This window comes from Homo sapiens, chromosome 8 (assembly GCF_000001405.40).
Source record: "Homo sapiens chromosome 8, GRCh38.p14 Primary Assembly".
Taxonomy (NCBI): Eukaryota; Metazoa; Chordata; class Mammalia; order Primates; family Hominidae; genus Homo; species Homo sapiens.
This window is the reverse complement of record NC_000008.11, coordinates 95794238-95810751: the sequence shown is the minus strand read 5'-3', so window position 1 is coordinate 95810751 and position 16514 is coordinate 95794238. Positions and strand designations below refer to the sequence as shown.

Genomic DNA, 16514 nt, shown 5'->3' with positions numbered 1-16514 from the left:
GTCTGCTCAATATAAGTGGATCCAAAAGATTGCATCTGTAGTATATGAAAGCCCTTGTCTTTTTATAGCAGCATTTAGCAGCAGACGTAGCCTTTTCAGTTCTACCCTGATAGAGAATGGTCTTCTCCCTAACCTATTCTAAATGCCTTACTGTGATGATCAGGCTCCTCTCTAGTTCTTTAATGTCCTTGTTTATTCCATTCATTCCCTTTTTTATTATTCTTCAAACTGGCTTTTCCCCCATCAAATATGTCAAACTAGTTTCTTTCTCAACCTGTGGTCCTTGCTCTTCCCTCTGCCTACAATACTCTCATCTAGGTCTTCAGTTGACCAGCCCCTTCTTCTCATTCAGGTGTCAGCTTAAGTGTCATCTCCTCAGAAGACCTTCCCTGATTACCAATCAATTTATAACAAGTCATTCTCTAGTTTTTAAATTTATCTTATCTATTTATTCTCTTGCTTATGGAATATTTACCCCCACTATGATGCAAGCACCATGAATGAAGGGCTCTTGTCTGTTTTATCCATTTTTAGGTCTCCAGCACCTAGCACAGTGCCTGATACATAGTGGGCAGATATGTTAGTTTGAGTCTTCTGAGAAGCAGATTCCCAGATGGGATGAGACATACAAGAAATTTATTAGGAGAAACACCTGTGAAGCATAAAGGGGAGGGTGCCAGGAGAGCTTCAGAGTATGCCAGGAGAGCTTCAGTCTGTGTCACAGGTCTTAAACCTGTGAAAGAAGAGAGAAAAGGGAGGTTTAATTAAGAAGAACCTCAGACCACAGTGTAGTTCTGAGAAAGTCTTGGTCAGGCTGAAAAGGAGAGCCCATTCAAAGGTTGCCCATTAAAAAAGCCCCATGTTGGACAGGAATGGCCTGGTTCCAGGCCCCCCACCATGCTCAGATAGTAGCTGAGAGTGAGCCTGAGAAAGCTGGGTACATAGTGGACCCAAAGGGGCGGCTTCTGGGGCTGTAGTCACAAGGCTCCCCATGTAGATTAACTTGAAGAGGTACCTGAATGGTGAACCCAAGGTCTCCGCAGCAGTTCCTAGACATTTGTTAAAAGAAAAAATGAGTGGATAAATGCATGATAAATCTCTGAACTCCATGGTAGAGGAACCCACATGGCCTAACTAGACAAATTCTTTTTGAACTCTTCAACTGGTCTCATGAATGGACCTGCAAACTGGCTGTTCCTGGCCATCACTTCTATGGATGAGCCAGGTACTAGTGGTATTGTAAGTGATATCATTTGGATATTTGTTCTCTCTGAATCTCATGTTGAAACATAATCCCCAGTGTTGGAGGTGAGATTTGGTAGGTATTTTGCATCACGGAGGCAGATCACTCATGCATGTTTTAGTGCTATGCCCTTGGTGATGAGTGAGTTCTTGTTCTGAGGTCATGCAAGATGTGTTTGTTTAAAAGTATGTGGCACCTCCCCCACTCTCTCTTGCTGCAGCTCTTGCCATGTGATGCACTGGCTACCCCTTCACTTTCCAGCATGAAAGTGTAAGTTTCCTGAGGCCCTCACCAGAAGCAGATGCTGGCACTATGCTTCCAGTACAGTCTGAAGAGCCATGAGCCAATTAAACCTCTTTTATTTATAAATTACTCAGCTTCAGGTATTCCTTTATAGCCACACAAACAGACTAACACAGTAGGTCAGGACCACTTCTGTGCTTGATACCTCACAATGAAGACCTTAATTGACCCATAAATTAGCTTTATTACTATTATTGTTTATTGTTGTATCATTGTTTTCTCTAACCAGAGGATAACGCAGGAAGACTTACAAATGCTTTATCCTTTTCCTGTTTTTCCCTACACTTCTTAGCACAGTGTAGTTCTAAAGTAAAGATCCCAACTTCAAAGGCTTACCAAAGCCAGGCATTTTATGGAGACAGGTGAAGCAGGCCTGGTGGAGAATGGTAGGGATGAGAACTGGAGTTGGCTTGCCCCATCTAGATGGGGCAACTGCCCTCTAGCTGCAAGCAGATGATTGCCAGGTGGGAATGCAGACTCCATGTGACTAGGTCAAGTAATGCCAGAAATCTGGATTTTTTACGTGAAATCTCCCGATTTTTCAATGTTGGGAACTAATTAAGTACGTTTTAAGCACTCCACAAGCCAACCCTAGTGTGGCCAAACAAAACATGCCTGTGGGATGATTTGGCCATCAGTTTATGGTCTCCATTCTAGACCAGTTGATGGACAACATTCTAGATCTTTAAAACTCAGTTTTGCTAAAAGTTTTGTAGCAGTTTTTCTTGGAAGTCTTCTCAGAACAGCTGATGACTAACCATTTATGTCACTCCCCAGTATCCCGGCCCCAGACAGCATGGAAGAGAATAGACCATAAATGTCTGAGTCACAAAGTCCATGGGACTCCATGAAATGCAAGGTGACAGGCATCTCTTTACCAGTGTGTGAGTGGGCCTGCCAGTGAGGACAAGGCTGAAGATAAACAGATGGATCTTACTGCCTGCCCAGAGGGAGTACAAAGTGGCTTCAGGGAGTGAGGACTAAATTCCAAGGCAGAGTTCACTTTCAGCAAATATTATGCCCTACAGCTGGAAAACCCAGATGCATTATTTGTTTATTTACTTATTTTTGGTAGTAAGCCACATAATTAGAAATCCTAAGAGGTAAAGGTAAGAAAAATGGAAAAACTCACTGGTGATTCAAAATTATGAAAGACTTAAAACAGTAACAACAATAATAATTTTTAAAAGTCCCTCCCAATAACAAACTTGTTTTGTTTTGTTTTTTGAGATAGGGTCTTGTTCTGTGTCCCAGGCTGGAGTGCAGTGGCACCATCATGGCTCACTGCAGCCTCGACCTCCTGGGCTCAAGGAATCCTCCCACCTCAGCCTTCCAAGTAGCCAGGAGTTTCAGTGTTACCCAGGCTGGTCCTGAACTCCTGAGCTCAAGCAATATGCCCGCCTCGGCCTCCCAAAGTGCTGGGATTACAGGAGTGAGCAACTGCACCCAGCCCCCAAATAACAAGTTTTAATCAATTTTATTACTGCATGCATACAGCATATGTGCCGAATTATATATTTGATTCATTTTGAGCACGTTGATGAGAATGTTGATGTTTAACATAATGAATAATTTCTAATATTTAATTAGGACCCACATCCTGATTCAGACTCCAGGTTTGTAGCATCAATGGTGACTTACTGCTTGGATTTTCAGAAGCATAAAAATCACAATCCATTTTAACAGACCCAGGGGAATCTAAACATTTTCCAGAATTTGACACATAGTAGGGATATCAGTTACTGGATTCATGTACTTATCAACAAAGCTGTTGGTGGAAGTTGCATTGCTTTTAGGTGTATGGGAGGCTCTTAAATAGTGCTACTTTTTCAAAGTAAATCCTTGTTCATTCTTTGAACTTGTGATTCCAATCCAACAAAGACTATAATTTACTTCTGGAATTGATGAAAATTCTGTTTTCATCAATACTTCTATAATCCTTTAAAATTTTTATTGCATGATGGTTGCCTTCTTCAAAAGGTATCTATCCAGTTTGAACACAGACAGCTGCACTTCTGAAATTATCGGTGATGCTCTGCACTTTGCTTTTCTCTTGAAATTTTGAATTCAGTATACATCCATGTTTTGTCACAACTATGAGAAAGCATCGTCATTGAACAAAAAGCACTCCAACAATGTTGGTTTCTCAGTCCTTCATCCCCAAAGTTCTTGATCTGAGGAGGCAGCTCAGTGAATCTCGTGAGGTTTCCCCATCTGAGGGCTTAAAAATAAACAGCATCTGCCTACACTGATTTATGTGCTTCAAAATATCTAATAAACTGATGATGGCTGTGGGGACTGGCTTGAAGAACCATCACAGTTGGAATCATTTGCTGCATTGCATCACACATGGACCTCCCCACAGAGGTCACAGTCCCAACTTTTTCAGGAAGAGGCAATGGCAGCCTCCATGCAACCTATGCTACTGACTGCAGTCACCTCTCAAAGCCACCTTGTCCTCTTTCATACCAAAGGTGTCCCATTGGCAAGTGAACTCATCTTTTCCATGTTTTGACCAAACTTCTCAAATTCCTTATTGGCATGAGTTAGGACTTCCCAACTCAGGTATGCCAGGTAATTTCACATGTATATGTACAGGATTGTGTAAGAATCTATGCTTATGCTCTTGAAAAGCATTTATAGCTCCCTATATATGGCACAGGCCAGAAGACTGTCCTACAGCCTAAACTTCTAGGTTCTCTCTATCTTTTCATTAATTCAACAAATATTTGGTGAAAACATACTATGCCCAGATGCCTAAATTTACATCTTACTTGTTGACATTTTAATTGTCAACTCCAGTCTTTTTTCCAGAAACAGCACAACAAGGACAGAGGGGTTTATTTTCAAATGGTGTTGGCAGAAATTGATGTAGCAATTAGCCTCTCTAGAAGAATCCCCTGCTATTTCATCAGTTTACTAACTTCTGTGCACTGGAATTGAGAGAGCTGCCAAGTGCAGGCTTCTTTTTGGAAAAAAAATAGTAAATCCTAGTTTAAAATCCTCTACATAATCATATTCTGCTTCACTTGGCAAAACTTTTAACTTCTATGATTGAGACATCAACTGTGCTTTTTTTTAACTCTCCAGTAGTAAATCTTGTGTATTTCTAAATCCTTCTTGAAATATTATATTTACTATATATGTTCTACCATGGGTAGTAGTTTTATAATCCTTTATCAAAATGCTTTGTGACCTGCCTGCATTTAGCTATCTGCAAACTATCTTTTACTTAGTCCACATCTGCTTACTGCTGAACAGCCTGCCTTTGCTGTAACTTTGTGTTAAACATGACAAGTTATTATTGCATTTGCTATTTGCTGCCATTTGCAATTGTCATCTTTTAAGACATGCTGTCTCCCTAGACCACTTTTGATCATTTGCATGACATGAAAAGAAATGACTGCAAATAAAAATTGCTCAAATGCTATGCCTGGTTGTGGTTTTAAGTGGAACATCTGGGCTCATTCAAATCACCCTTCCTTCTGAGGTGACTTTCTTTGCCGTGACTCACAAAGGCAGGAGGTTTGGTCAGGTGGCTTTTCCCAGGAGTTACTGGGAAAAAAGGGAATTTTTACTCCAGAGACTGTTTCTGGGCTCTTCAAAGCTTTCAGGAAGAAACAGGGCACTTCATGTTATTCTTTTCAACCTGTTCTGGGCTACTGATAGCTTTGACAAGAAAAGTCTCTGGAACTTCTTTTGACAAGGGAGCCCAGAGGATGGTCACCCAGGAACCGAGGTGGAGTGGATAAAAATGTGGAAGCCTGGGGAAGACCTGGTTGGATCTTTGAAACTGTGCAAGGGAAACAGGCTCAGTCTGACTGGCTGCAGAGTGTGGAATAGAGGGTATCAGAATGGAGGGGGAGAATTCACTTCAGCAAAGTTGATGGACAGTCCCTACTTCAGGTCTCAGCTCAAAGATCACTTCCTTGGAGAGACTTTCTCTGCCACCCAAGTAGATCTCCCTCCCTTGATTTGCCTAATCATGTGACTCTGCTTATTTCCTCAAAACAGTTCTGAGACCATGAGGTTTCTTGTTTATTTATTTTTATTGTTCTCCCCAATGGAAAGTAAGCTCCATGGTGACAGGGACTCTGTTTGCTTTGTTCACCCACTCCTCTCCAGGTCAGGGCTGGCTACACAATTTGTGGGGCCCAGTGCAAAATAATGTAGGGTGCCTTGTTCAAAAAAAGAAGGGGAAAAAGCACTGCTAAGGGCACTAAAGTGTGATATTTTCCTTTCTTGAACGGTCTCTCAACTTGCCATTGTGTTTCTTTATTTGCTATTTAATGATATTCTAAGTTAAAAATGGAAATTTAAAATTATTAGCATGGTTTACTGTTTATCTTTACAATGTGTAATGTCAGTTTTAAGTGCAAATATAACAGCATTTAACTCTTACACAGAAATCATGAAAATTTCTCTGCAACCTCACCAACATCTGTTGCTTTTTGACTTTTTAATAACAGCCATTCTGACTGGTGTGAGAAGGTATCTCATTGTGGTTTTGATTTGCATTTCTCTAATGATTAGTGATTATGAGTATTTTTTCATATATTTGTTGGCCACATGTATTTCTTCTTTTGAGAAGTTTCTGTTTATGCCCTTTGCCCATTTTTAAAATTGGGTCCTGGAGAAGAGGGAACACTTACACACTGCTGGTGGGAATCTAAATTACTTCAGCCACTGTGGAAAGCAGTGTGGAGATTCCTCAAATAACTTAAAAACTAACATTTGACCCAGCAATCCAACTACTGGGTATATACCCAAAGGAAAATAGATTGTTCTACCAAAATGACACATACACTCATATGTTCATTGCAACAATATTCACAATAGCAAAGACATGAAGTCAACCTAGATGCCCATCAATGGTGGACTGGATAAAGAAAATATGGTTCATGTACACCATGGAATGCTACACAGCCATAAAAAGGCATGAAATTATGTCCTTTGCAGCAACATGGATGCATCTGGAGGCCATTATCCTAACTGAACTAATGCAGAAATATAAAACCAAATACTGCATGTTCTCTCTTATAAGTGGGAGCTAAACATATCTATCAGGTGCTATGCTATCTGCCTGGGTGATGAGATCATTTGTACACCAAACCTCAGCGACATTCAATTTATCCATGTAACAAACCTGCACATGTACTCCCTGAATCTAAAAAAAGTTGAGAGAAAAAAACAAAATAAAACAAAACAATTACCAAAATTACACAATTAATATTTGTAGCTCAAAAATGCATATCTATTTCACTCTTACCAGAACAGTGGAAATGCTACATGAAACTCAACAGTTTTTAATTCACATCATGATACATTCTACCAACACTCTTTACCTTCAGTTTACTTATGGGTAAGGAAAAATTAAAAGGAAAAGAAACTATGGTATTAACATTTTCTCTCCTAGCATTTCAGCATTAAAGTAGTTGGCTAATACAGGGAAACAACATGAATAAGAAAGAATGCAATAGGGTCCCTTGGTTCTTGTTCTCTTTCAAACAAAAAAGCATGGCCTCTAGGATGTCAGCACCTGCCTCCTCCCCACCTTTCTCAGTAGTAGCCCTAACACAATTGCCTTGTACTTGCTTTTAGTTTCACTGAATGCTTGAATATTGTGGGCCGCCAACTTCTGTGCTCATGGGGTGTCATCACAAATGCTATATGTGAATGGGAAGGCACTGTGGACATTTCCTCTGCTCATGTGCATGCTCCCTCATCCCATTAGACTTTCTTACAAAACACAAGTTTCATGAAATTATTCAGAATTGCAAGATAGTGGTAGCAGTGCGTTAAACCAAATGTGGGACCATTTGACTGTGTAAGTCTCTGCCCATGAAACCAGCCCTGATCCATTTTCCATCACAATGTAGTTAATAAAGAGCACACTGAGCACAGAGGATGGGCACATGCATTCTTGCTGAATGATGAATGACTGAACAATTCAGAACTGTTGACCAGTGAACTGAGCTGCAGCCATAAGTGACCTCATGGCCCAGAAAGAGGAAGACAAAGACAAAGGTAGAGAGCTTCAGTTTCCAATACTGTTCCTGTTCCTCAGCCTACTTGTACCTCCTAGCCTTGAGTTCAGTGAAATATTATTATTCCCTATAACAAATCTCCCCTGATTTATCTGTGTAGGTTTTTATAGTGTCTTGACAAGAAATTCATTTTGTGCCGTGGCCCGCCCATGACCCTCTCCAGACATATCCAGCTATACGATCTTCTGAATGTGTCATGATTTTCACATTGGCATGCCTTTGACCACAGAGCCATTGTTCTCTCAATGACTATGTCCTCTTCTTTTCTTTTTCTTTTCTTTTCTTTTTTCTTTTCGTTTCTCTCTTTTTTTTTTTTTTTTGAGATGGAGTTTTGCTCTTGTCACCCAGGCTGGAGTGCAATGGTGTGATCTTGGCTAACTGCAACCTCAGCCTCATGAGTTCAATCACTTCTCCTGTCTCAGCCTCCCGAGTAGCTGGGATTACAGGCACCCGCGACCAGGCTCTCTTTTCTAATAAGCCAACTCCTCTTCTTTCTCCAAGATCAGCTCTCCTGTGATACGTTCTTCAGTTCTCACTTGAGATAGTCACTCAGCTGTCATTGTATTGAGGTAGATGCTGACATTTCTGTCCCTGAGATCTCCTTGGGGATGGGGTAAAGCAGTGTTCTCTTTTGTATTTCTCTTGCCCAGTACCTCATCTAGTGCTTGATACTTAGATTCTCACTGTTGCATAAGACTTCATTGTTGATTTACCAAATTACCATATATGGCTACACCTGGGGGACATTATGTTAGGACTATTTTCAGAATACCTCAGTTGCAAGTTGTTCACCACTTCTCAGTCCTTATTTCTTGTGTTCAAAGATGAGTTTTCATTGAAAACTCTTCTAGCTGATTATATGAATTATTTAAGTTAGTGGTAGTAGAAAGAAGTGTGGACAATAAAAAGAGGCATATTGAAATGGGCTTGGATTAAAGCCATCCAAAGACTATCTGTGCTCAGTTGTGCCTAAAGTACTTTTGGAACAATCTATTTATGAAATGATAGACCACAGATCACTGTTGATGACACCCACATTCATTCTTGACAACTATGACTCATTCGTACGTCGTGCACATACACAGGAGCAGGAATAGATCACAGATCACTGACTGTGACACCCACATTCATTCTTGAAAAGTATGACTCAGCTGTAAGTCGTGCACATACACAGGAGCAGGAATCTGAGGGGAAGAAATATCTATCCAGTGCAGATGCCATTCACAGAGATCCCCAGACAGTCTCCTAAGCAGCCTGAATTGTTCTTCTTGTCTGGTCTGCATCCCACTGGGAAACAGTCCAAGGTGTTAAATATTTTCACTGAATATGGTGGTCTCCCTCCTTTGGCATGATGTTTTGGAGGGGTCTCTTCCAGTGGGACATTGTTTATCATTTATTTCTCATCCAAACTGAGAATTATAGAACGAATCCTGCTTTCATTCAGATTACAGATTTGTTAAAACAATATCTGAAATATAGCAGATATTGTCATGATTTTGCAAAAACAAAACAAAAACGAAAAAGTCTTACAAGATAGAAATGCTTAATGAATACATAACACATTTATCAGGACTTGTTTTCTCATTGTTATCAAGAGTTGGCCATGAGGAATAGGATATTAGGTCATATGCAGACTAGGAAGTGGAAAAGGCCAAAAGATAAAAATTCTACAAGAGACAGAGAAAGCGCTTACATGTCTATCTTTTTTGCTTGCTTCACACATGAAGTGATTCCCTGCTGAATGGAAAGACAGACAGGTGAGACTGGCTTTCATTCAAATGATGGGTGGAAGTGCCCCTGCCATGTTTGAAGGTTTAAAAAGTTCTAATATTCAGATGAAGAGGGAAGAGAGAATAACGTTCTCCTCCCTTCATATGCAATGCAGTCGGAAAATCAGTCCCATTCTTTTATTTATGTGGTCAAAATGCAAGTATAAAAATTATTACCCAGATTGCAAGTCAATCTAATCACTGCATCATCTTTCATTAGCTCTGGACATTTAGCTCTCTGTGATACAACCGTTTCTCTGACCGAATAAGTCTGTGTCAAATAATTGTTAAAATTTCCACTGATCCCCAAAAGTCTGAGCACCAGCTGGATGTAGATGTTTGCCAACACCAGCAGTCATGTGGAACTCACTAATTGGGTATATGCATCCTGGGCATACAGACATGCCATGCCAAAGGGGTGGCCGTACCTCACGATGCCTTTGGAACATGCAATAACTTCATTGCTTTACAAAAAAAAAAAGGAAAAGACAAGACTTGGCTGAAAGCAAGATTGCTTTTCAGAAGGGAAACTCTTTTCCCAGGGTGCACTGTGCAGACAAAACTTACTGCATCCCTTCTGAAAATGTGTCTGGAGCAGTCTTCCAAGATGATTAATAGAGCAAGTATTTCTCACAAGGGTCTGACCTTTGAAAGCACAGACAGACAAAGGCATAAATGGTCAGAGAGGGATGGAGAGCGTCAGGCTCACGAGACACCCGTGCCCACACACTCACCTCTTGTCAGGGCCTGGAACACACTGTGCTGTCCCTTGGGGAAAGCCCTTTAGGACCATGATGCCTTTGAAAGGTTTTTGTGTCATTGTAAATGTCTTTACCTTGAAGATTTTCTTTCAAATGATGGAACTGCCAGTTGGTGTATTGTAGGGTGCAGAGACTGCAAAAACAAAAAAAAATTAGTCACATGATTTCCTGCACCAACTGTTCAGCTCAGAGCCATGGGCCACACATTTAGACACCAATTCTTTATTTTTTTTATTTTAAGTTCTGGGGTACATGTGCAGGATGTGCAGCCTTGTTACATAGGTAAATGTGTGCTATAGTGGTTTCCTGCACCTATCAACCCATCAGCTAGGTATTAAGCCAGGCATGAATTAGTTATTTTTTCTGATGCTCTCTCTCCCCACAACCACCCCCGGGGGTTCACAGGCCTGTGTGTATTGTTCCCCTTCCTGTGCCCATGTGGTCTCATTATAGAAACGAATTCTTAAATGCAATGTGTGTGTTTCACTGAAGAGGGGAGGAAAGGAAAGTAGATATTTTGGGAAAAGAAAACCAGTATTTTTAAGGACCTAATGTTAAATCTTTATAGCAACTCTATAAAACAAATGTTTATGTTCCCATTTGACAGACAGATGAACTAGAACTTGAAGAACTCGGTAAGGTCATGTGGGGATTCATGTGTATGAAGTGTTTACTATGAGGAGGACAGTCAGCTACACAGAAGAATGTGACCCTTATGAGGCTAATCAGATATTATCTCCATGGGTCTCGCTGGGACCTTTAAGAAAAGTACTTTCTCTGTTCCTGTGTTAGTTTGCTAAGGATAATGGCCTTCAGCTCCATCCATGTTCCTGCAAAGGACATGATCTCATTCTTTTTTTATGACTGCATAGTATTCCATGGTGTATATTACCACATTTTCTTTATCCAGTCTATCTTTGATGGGCATTTAGGTTGACTCCATGTCTTTACTGTTGTGAATAGTGCTGCAGTGAACATACATATGCATGTGTCTGTCTTTACAGTAAAACGACTTATATTCCTTTGGATATATACCAAGTAATGGGATTGCTGGGCTGAATGGTACTTCTGTCTTCAAGTCTTTGAGGAACTGCATGCTCGCACTTATAAGTGCAAGCTAAATGATGAGAACACATGGACAAATAGAGGGGAACAACACACACTGGGTTCTTTTGGAGGGTGAAGGTTGAGAGGAGGAAGAGGATCATGAAAAATAACTGATGTGTACTATGTACAAGGCTTAATACTTGGGTGATTAAATAATCTGTACAACAAATCTCCATGACACAAGTTTACCTGTGTAACAAACCTGCACTTTTACCCCAAACTTAATCAACCAACGAGCAAAATAACCAGCTAACATCATAATGACAGGATCAAATTCACACGTAACAATATTAACTTCAAATGTAAATAGACTAAATGCTCCAATTAAAAGACACAGACTGGAAAATTGGATAAAGAGTCAAGACCCATCAGTGTGCTGTATTCAGGAAACCCATCTCACGTGCAGAGACACACGTCGGCTCAAAATAAAAGGATGGAGGAAGATCTACCAAGAAAATGGAAAACAAAAAAAGGCAGGAGTTGCAATCCTAGTCTCTGATAAAACGGACTTTAAACCAACAAAGATCAAAAGAGACAAAGAAGGCCATTACATAATGGTAAAGGGATCAATTCAACAAGAAGAGCTAACTATCCTAAATATATATGCACCAAATACAGGAGCACCCAGATTCATAAAGCAAGTCCTGAGTGACCTACAAAGAGACTTAGACTCCCACACAATAATGGGAGACTTTAACACCCCACTGTCAACATTAGACAGATCAATGAGACAGAAAGTTAACAAGGATACCCAGGAATTGAACTCAGCTCTGCACCAAGTGGACCTAATAGACATCTACAGAACTCTCCACCCCAAATCAACAGAATATACATTTTTTTCAGCACCACACCTCACCTATTCCAAAATTGACCACATACTTGGAAGTAAAGCTCTCCTCAGCAAATGTAAAAGAACAGAAATTATAACAAACTGTCTCTCAGACCACAGTGCAATCAAATTAGAACTCAGGATTAAGAAACTCACTCAAAACTGCTCAACTACATGGAAACTGAACAACCTGCTCCTGAATGACTACTGGGTACTAATGAAATGAAGGCAGAAATAAAGATGTTCTTTGAAACCAACGAGAACAAAGACACAACATACCAGAATCTCTGGGACACATTCAAAGCAGTGTGTAGAGGGAAATTTATAGCACTAAATGTCCACAAGAGAAAGCAGGAAAGATCCAAAATTGACACCCTAACATCACAATTAAAAGATTTAGAAAAGCAAGAGCAAACACATTCAAAAGCTAGCAGAAGGCAAGAAATAACTAAAATCAGAGCAGAAGTGAAGGAAATAGAGACATAAAAAACCCTTCAAAAAATTAATGAATCCAGGAGCTGGTTTTTTGAAAGGATCAACAAAATTGATAGACCTAGCAAGACTAATAAAGAAGAAAAGAGAGAAGAATCAAATAGGCGCAATAAAAAATGATAAAGGGGATATCACCACCGATCCCACAGAAATACAAACTACCATCAGAGAATACTACAAACACCTCTACGCAAATAAACTAGAAAATCTAGAAGAAATGGATAAATTCCTCGACACACACACCCTCCCAAGACTAAACCAGGAAGAAGTTGAATCTCTGAATAGACCAATAACAGATCTGAAATTGTGGCAATAATCAATAGCTTACCAACCAAAACCAGTCCAGGACCAGATGGATTCACAGCCAAATTGTACCAGAGGTACAAGGAGGAACTGGTACCATTCCTTCTGAAACTATTCCAATCAATAGAAAAAGAGGGAATCCTCCCTAACTCATTTTATGAGGCCAGCATCATCCTGATACCAAAGCCGGGCAAAGACAAAACCAAAAAAGAGAATTTTAGACCAATATCCTTGATGAACATTGATGCAAAAATCCTCAATAAAATACTGGCAAACCAAATCCAGCAGCACATCAAAAAGCTTATCCACCATGATCAAGTGGGCTTCATCCCTGGGATACAAGGCTGGTTCAATATACACAAATCAATAAATGTAATCCAGCATATAAAGAGAACCAAAGACAAAAACCACATGATTATCTCAATAGATGCAGAAAAGGCCTTTGACAAAATTCAACAACCCTTCATGCTAAAAACTCTCAATAAATTAGGTATTGATGGGACATATCTCAAAATAATAAGAGCTATCTATGACAGACCCACAGCCAATATCATACTGAATGGGCAAAAACTGGAAGCATACCCTTTGAAAACTGGCACAAGACAGGGATGCCCTCTCTCACCACTCCTATTCAACATAGTGTTGGAAGTTCTGGCCAGGGCAATTAGGCAGGAGAAGGAAATAAAGGGTATTCAATTAGGAAAAGAGGAAGTCAAATTGTCCCTGTTTGCAGGCGACATGATTGTATATCTAGAAAACCCCATCGTCTCAGCCCAAAATCTCCTTAAGCTGATAAGCAACTTCAGCAAAGTCTCAGGATACAAAATCAATGTACAAAAATCACAAGCATTCTTATACACCAATAACAGACAAACAGAGAGCCAAATCATGAGTGAACTCCCATTCACAATTGCTTCAAAGAGAATAAAATACCTAGGAATCCAACTTACAAGGGATGTGAAGGATCTCTTCAAGGAGAACTACAAACCACCACTGCTCAATGAAATAAAAGAGGATAGAAAGAAATGGAAGAACATTCCATGCTCATGGGTAGGAAGAATCAATATCATGAAAATGGCCATACTGCCCAAGGTAATTTATAGATTCAATGCCAACCCCATCAAGCTACCAATGACTTTCTTCACAGAATTGGAAAAAAAGTACTTTAAAGTTCATATGGAACCAAAATAGAGCCTGCATCGCCAAAAGAAGAAAGCTGGAGGCATCATGCTACCTGACTTCAAACTATACTACAAGGCTACAGTAACCAAAACAGCATGGTACTGGTACCAAAACAGATATATAGATCAATGGAACAGAACAGAGCCCTCAGAAATAACGCCGCATATCTACAACTATCTGATCTTTGACAAACCTGAGAAAAACAAGTAATGGGGAAAGGATTCCCTATTTAATAAATGGTGCTGGGAAAACTGGCTAGCCATATGTAGAAAGCCGAAACTGGATCCCTTCCTTACACCTTATACAAAAATTAATTCTAGATGGATTAAAGACCTTAAACGTTAGACCTAAAACCATAAAAACCCTAGAAGAAAACCTAGGCATTACCATTCAGGACATAGGCATGGGCAAGGACTTCATGTCTAAAACACCAAAAGCAATGGCAACAAAAGCCAAAATTGACAAATGGGATCTAATTAAACTCAAGAGCTTCTGCACAGCAAAAGAAACTACCATCAGAGTGAACAGGTAACCTACAAAATGGGAGAAAATTTTCGCAACCTACTCATCTGACAAAGGGCTAATATCCAGAATCTACAATGAACTCAAACAAATTTACAAGAAAAAAACAACCCCAACAAAAAGTGGGCAAAGGACATGAACAGACACTTCTCAAAAGAAGACATTTATGCAGCCAAAAAACAACACATGAAAAAATGCTCACCATCACTGGCCATCAGAGAAATGCAAATCAAAACCACAATGAGATACCATCTCACACCAGTTAGAATGGCAATCATTAAAAAGTCAGGAAACAACAGGTGCTGGAGAGGATGTGGAGAAATAGGAACACTTTTACACTGTTGGTGGGACTGTAAACTAGTTCAACCATTGTGGAAGTCATTGTGGTGAGTCCTCAGGGATCTAGAACTAGAAATACCATTTGACCCAGCCATCCCATTACTGGGTATATACCCAAAGGACTATAAATCATGCTGCTATAAAGACACATGCACACGTATGTTTATTGTGGCACTATTCACAATAGCAAAGACTTGGAACCAACCCAAATGTCCAACAGTGATAGACTGGATTAAGAAAATGTGGCACATTAGGAGATATATCTAATGCTAAATGACGAGTTAATGGGTGCAGCACACCAGCATGGCACATGTATACGTATGTAACCAACCTGCACATTGTGCACATGTACCCTAAAACTTAAAGTATCATAATAATAAAATAAAATACAATAAAAATAAAAGTTAAATAAAAAAGATAGAGTGGAAAAAAAGTACTTTATCTTTCTCGTTGATCTCAATCTGTGAGGAAAGTAGGCTTAGATATGTCAGTGCTCTCTTGCTGAGAGAGAGGGAGACAGAGGAGAGATTTTGAGACCTGAAGTCAATAGCTGAAACTCTGGAACAGTAGATATCAACTGAGGATTCCTGAAAACTATATGGTGTTCTTTGTTCATTGCGTTTCAGCAAGAATGCACTTTTAGTTCAAACAGGTGCAGTACCTTCCACATGGAGCAAGAATCACACTTATTTGTGTTTTTGTCTCTTGCAACTGAGGTGTTCTAGCAACTATATGGTGTTCTTTGTTCACTGCATTTCAGTAAGAATGCAGGGTACTCTTGATACCATGGGAGAGACTTTCTTATGTTATGAAACCTTTGCAGCCACAAAAAAATCATGTTTTTGGCATATGCTTAACGACATGGGAAAATGCTCATGATAAAACAATTAACTGTTTATAGTGCAAGATCTAGTTTTTTTGTGTGTGTGAGAGATATATTTATATAATTCAATACAAAGTAGACTGGAAAGAAATGTACCAGAATTTTGGAAGTGGTTATCTATGTAGGTAGAATTAAAAATTTTAGTTTTAATTTTCTTCTTTATAGTTTTCTTTGTTTCCCAGATTTTCCATACTACACATAAACCGTGTTTATAATCTTGAATAAACAGTATATTATTAAAGTCTGAAAATTCATACTTATGAGTTAATTCAAGATAGCTTCCTTTAGCCCACAGCGCACCTCCAAACATATCAAAGGTTGTGTTTCAAAACACCTGAACAATTGAGTGTTTAACTTCCAAATGCAATCCCTTTGGTGTTTGTGTATCTCATTACAGTGGATCCTTACCTACTGGATCTAGCCCTGTTGCACATTTAGTTCAAACTGGTAATGAAAACGGTACCTTCCACGTGGGGCAGGAGACCAGTTATTACTACAGATATTAAGATAAAGGGCAAGTTCATGAACCCTGTATTGACAGGGCAGTTGTGTCATCTGGAGGACATTTCTTTTCAATTTCATCTAACAAAAAGGCTCGATGTCAAATTCTTAAACAAACAATACCAACTTCCTGTGGGGGAAGAGCAAGTCAAATAGGAGATACTTGTTCTTGGCATAAAAGTCTATATTTAAGAATTAACTTATCACGTTTCACAGCTCACTGTAAACTAAGA

At 39.6% G+C, this 16514-nt stretch overlaps 1 long non-coding RNA gene across 9 annotated transcripts in view; it reads right to left on the bottom strand.

The window, feature by feature from the left end:
- Positions 1–608: 608 nt before the first annotated feature.
- The window catches only part of CFAP418-AS1 (CFAP418 antisense RNA 1), a 541308-nt gene continuing 525402 nt past the window's right edge, over positions 609–16514 (bottom strand). For 4 of the 9 annotated variants that reach the window (NR_038201.1, NR_038203.1, NR_038202.1 and 1 more), the window contains 2 exons: positions 10097–10256; positions 609–733 (listed from right to left, as the gene is read on the bottom strand). This is a non-coding gene — a long non-coding RNA (CFAP418 antisense RNA 1). The remainder of the gene's footprint in view (positions 734–10096; positions 10257–16514) is intronic. The other 5 variants (NR_038209.1, NR_038207.1, NR_038205.1 and 2 more) reach the window with 2 other exon arrangements.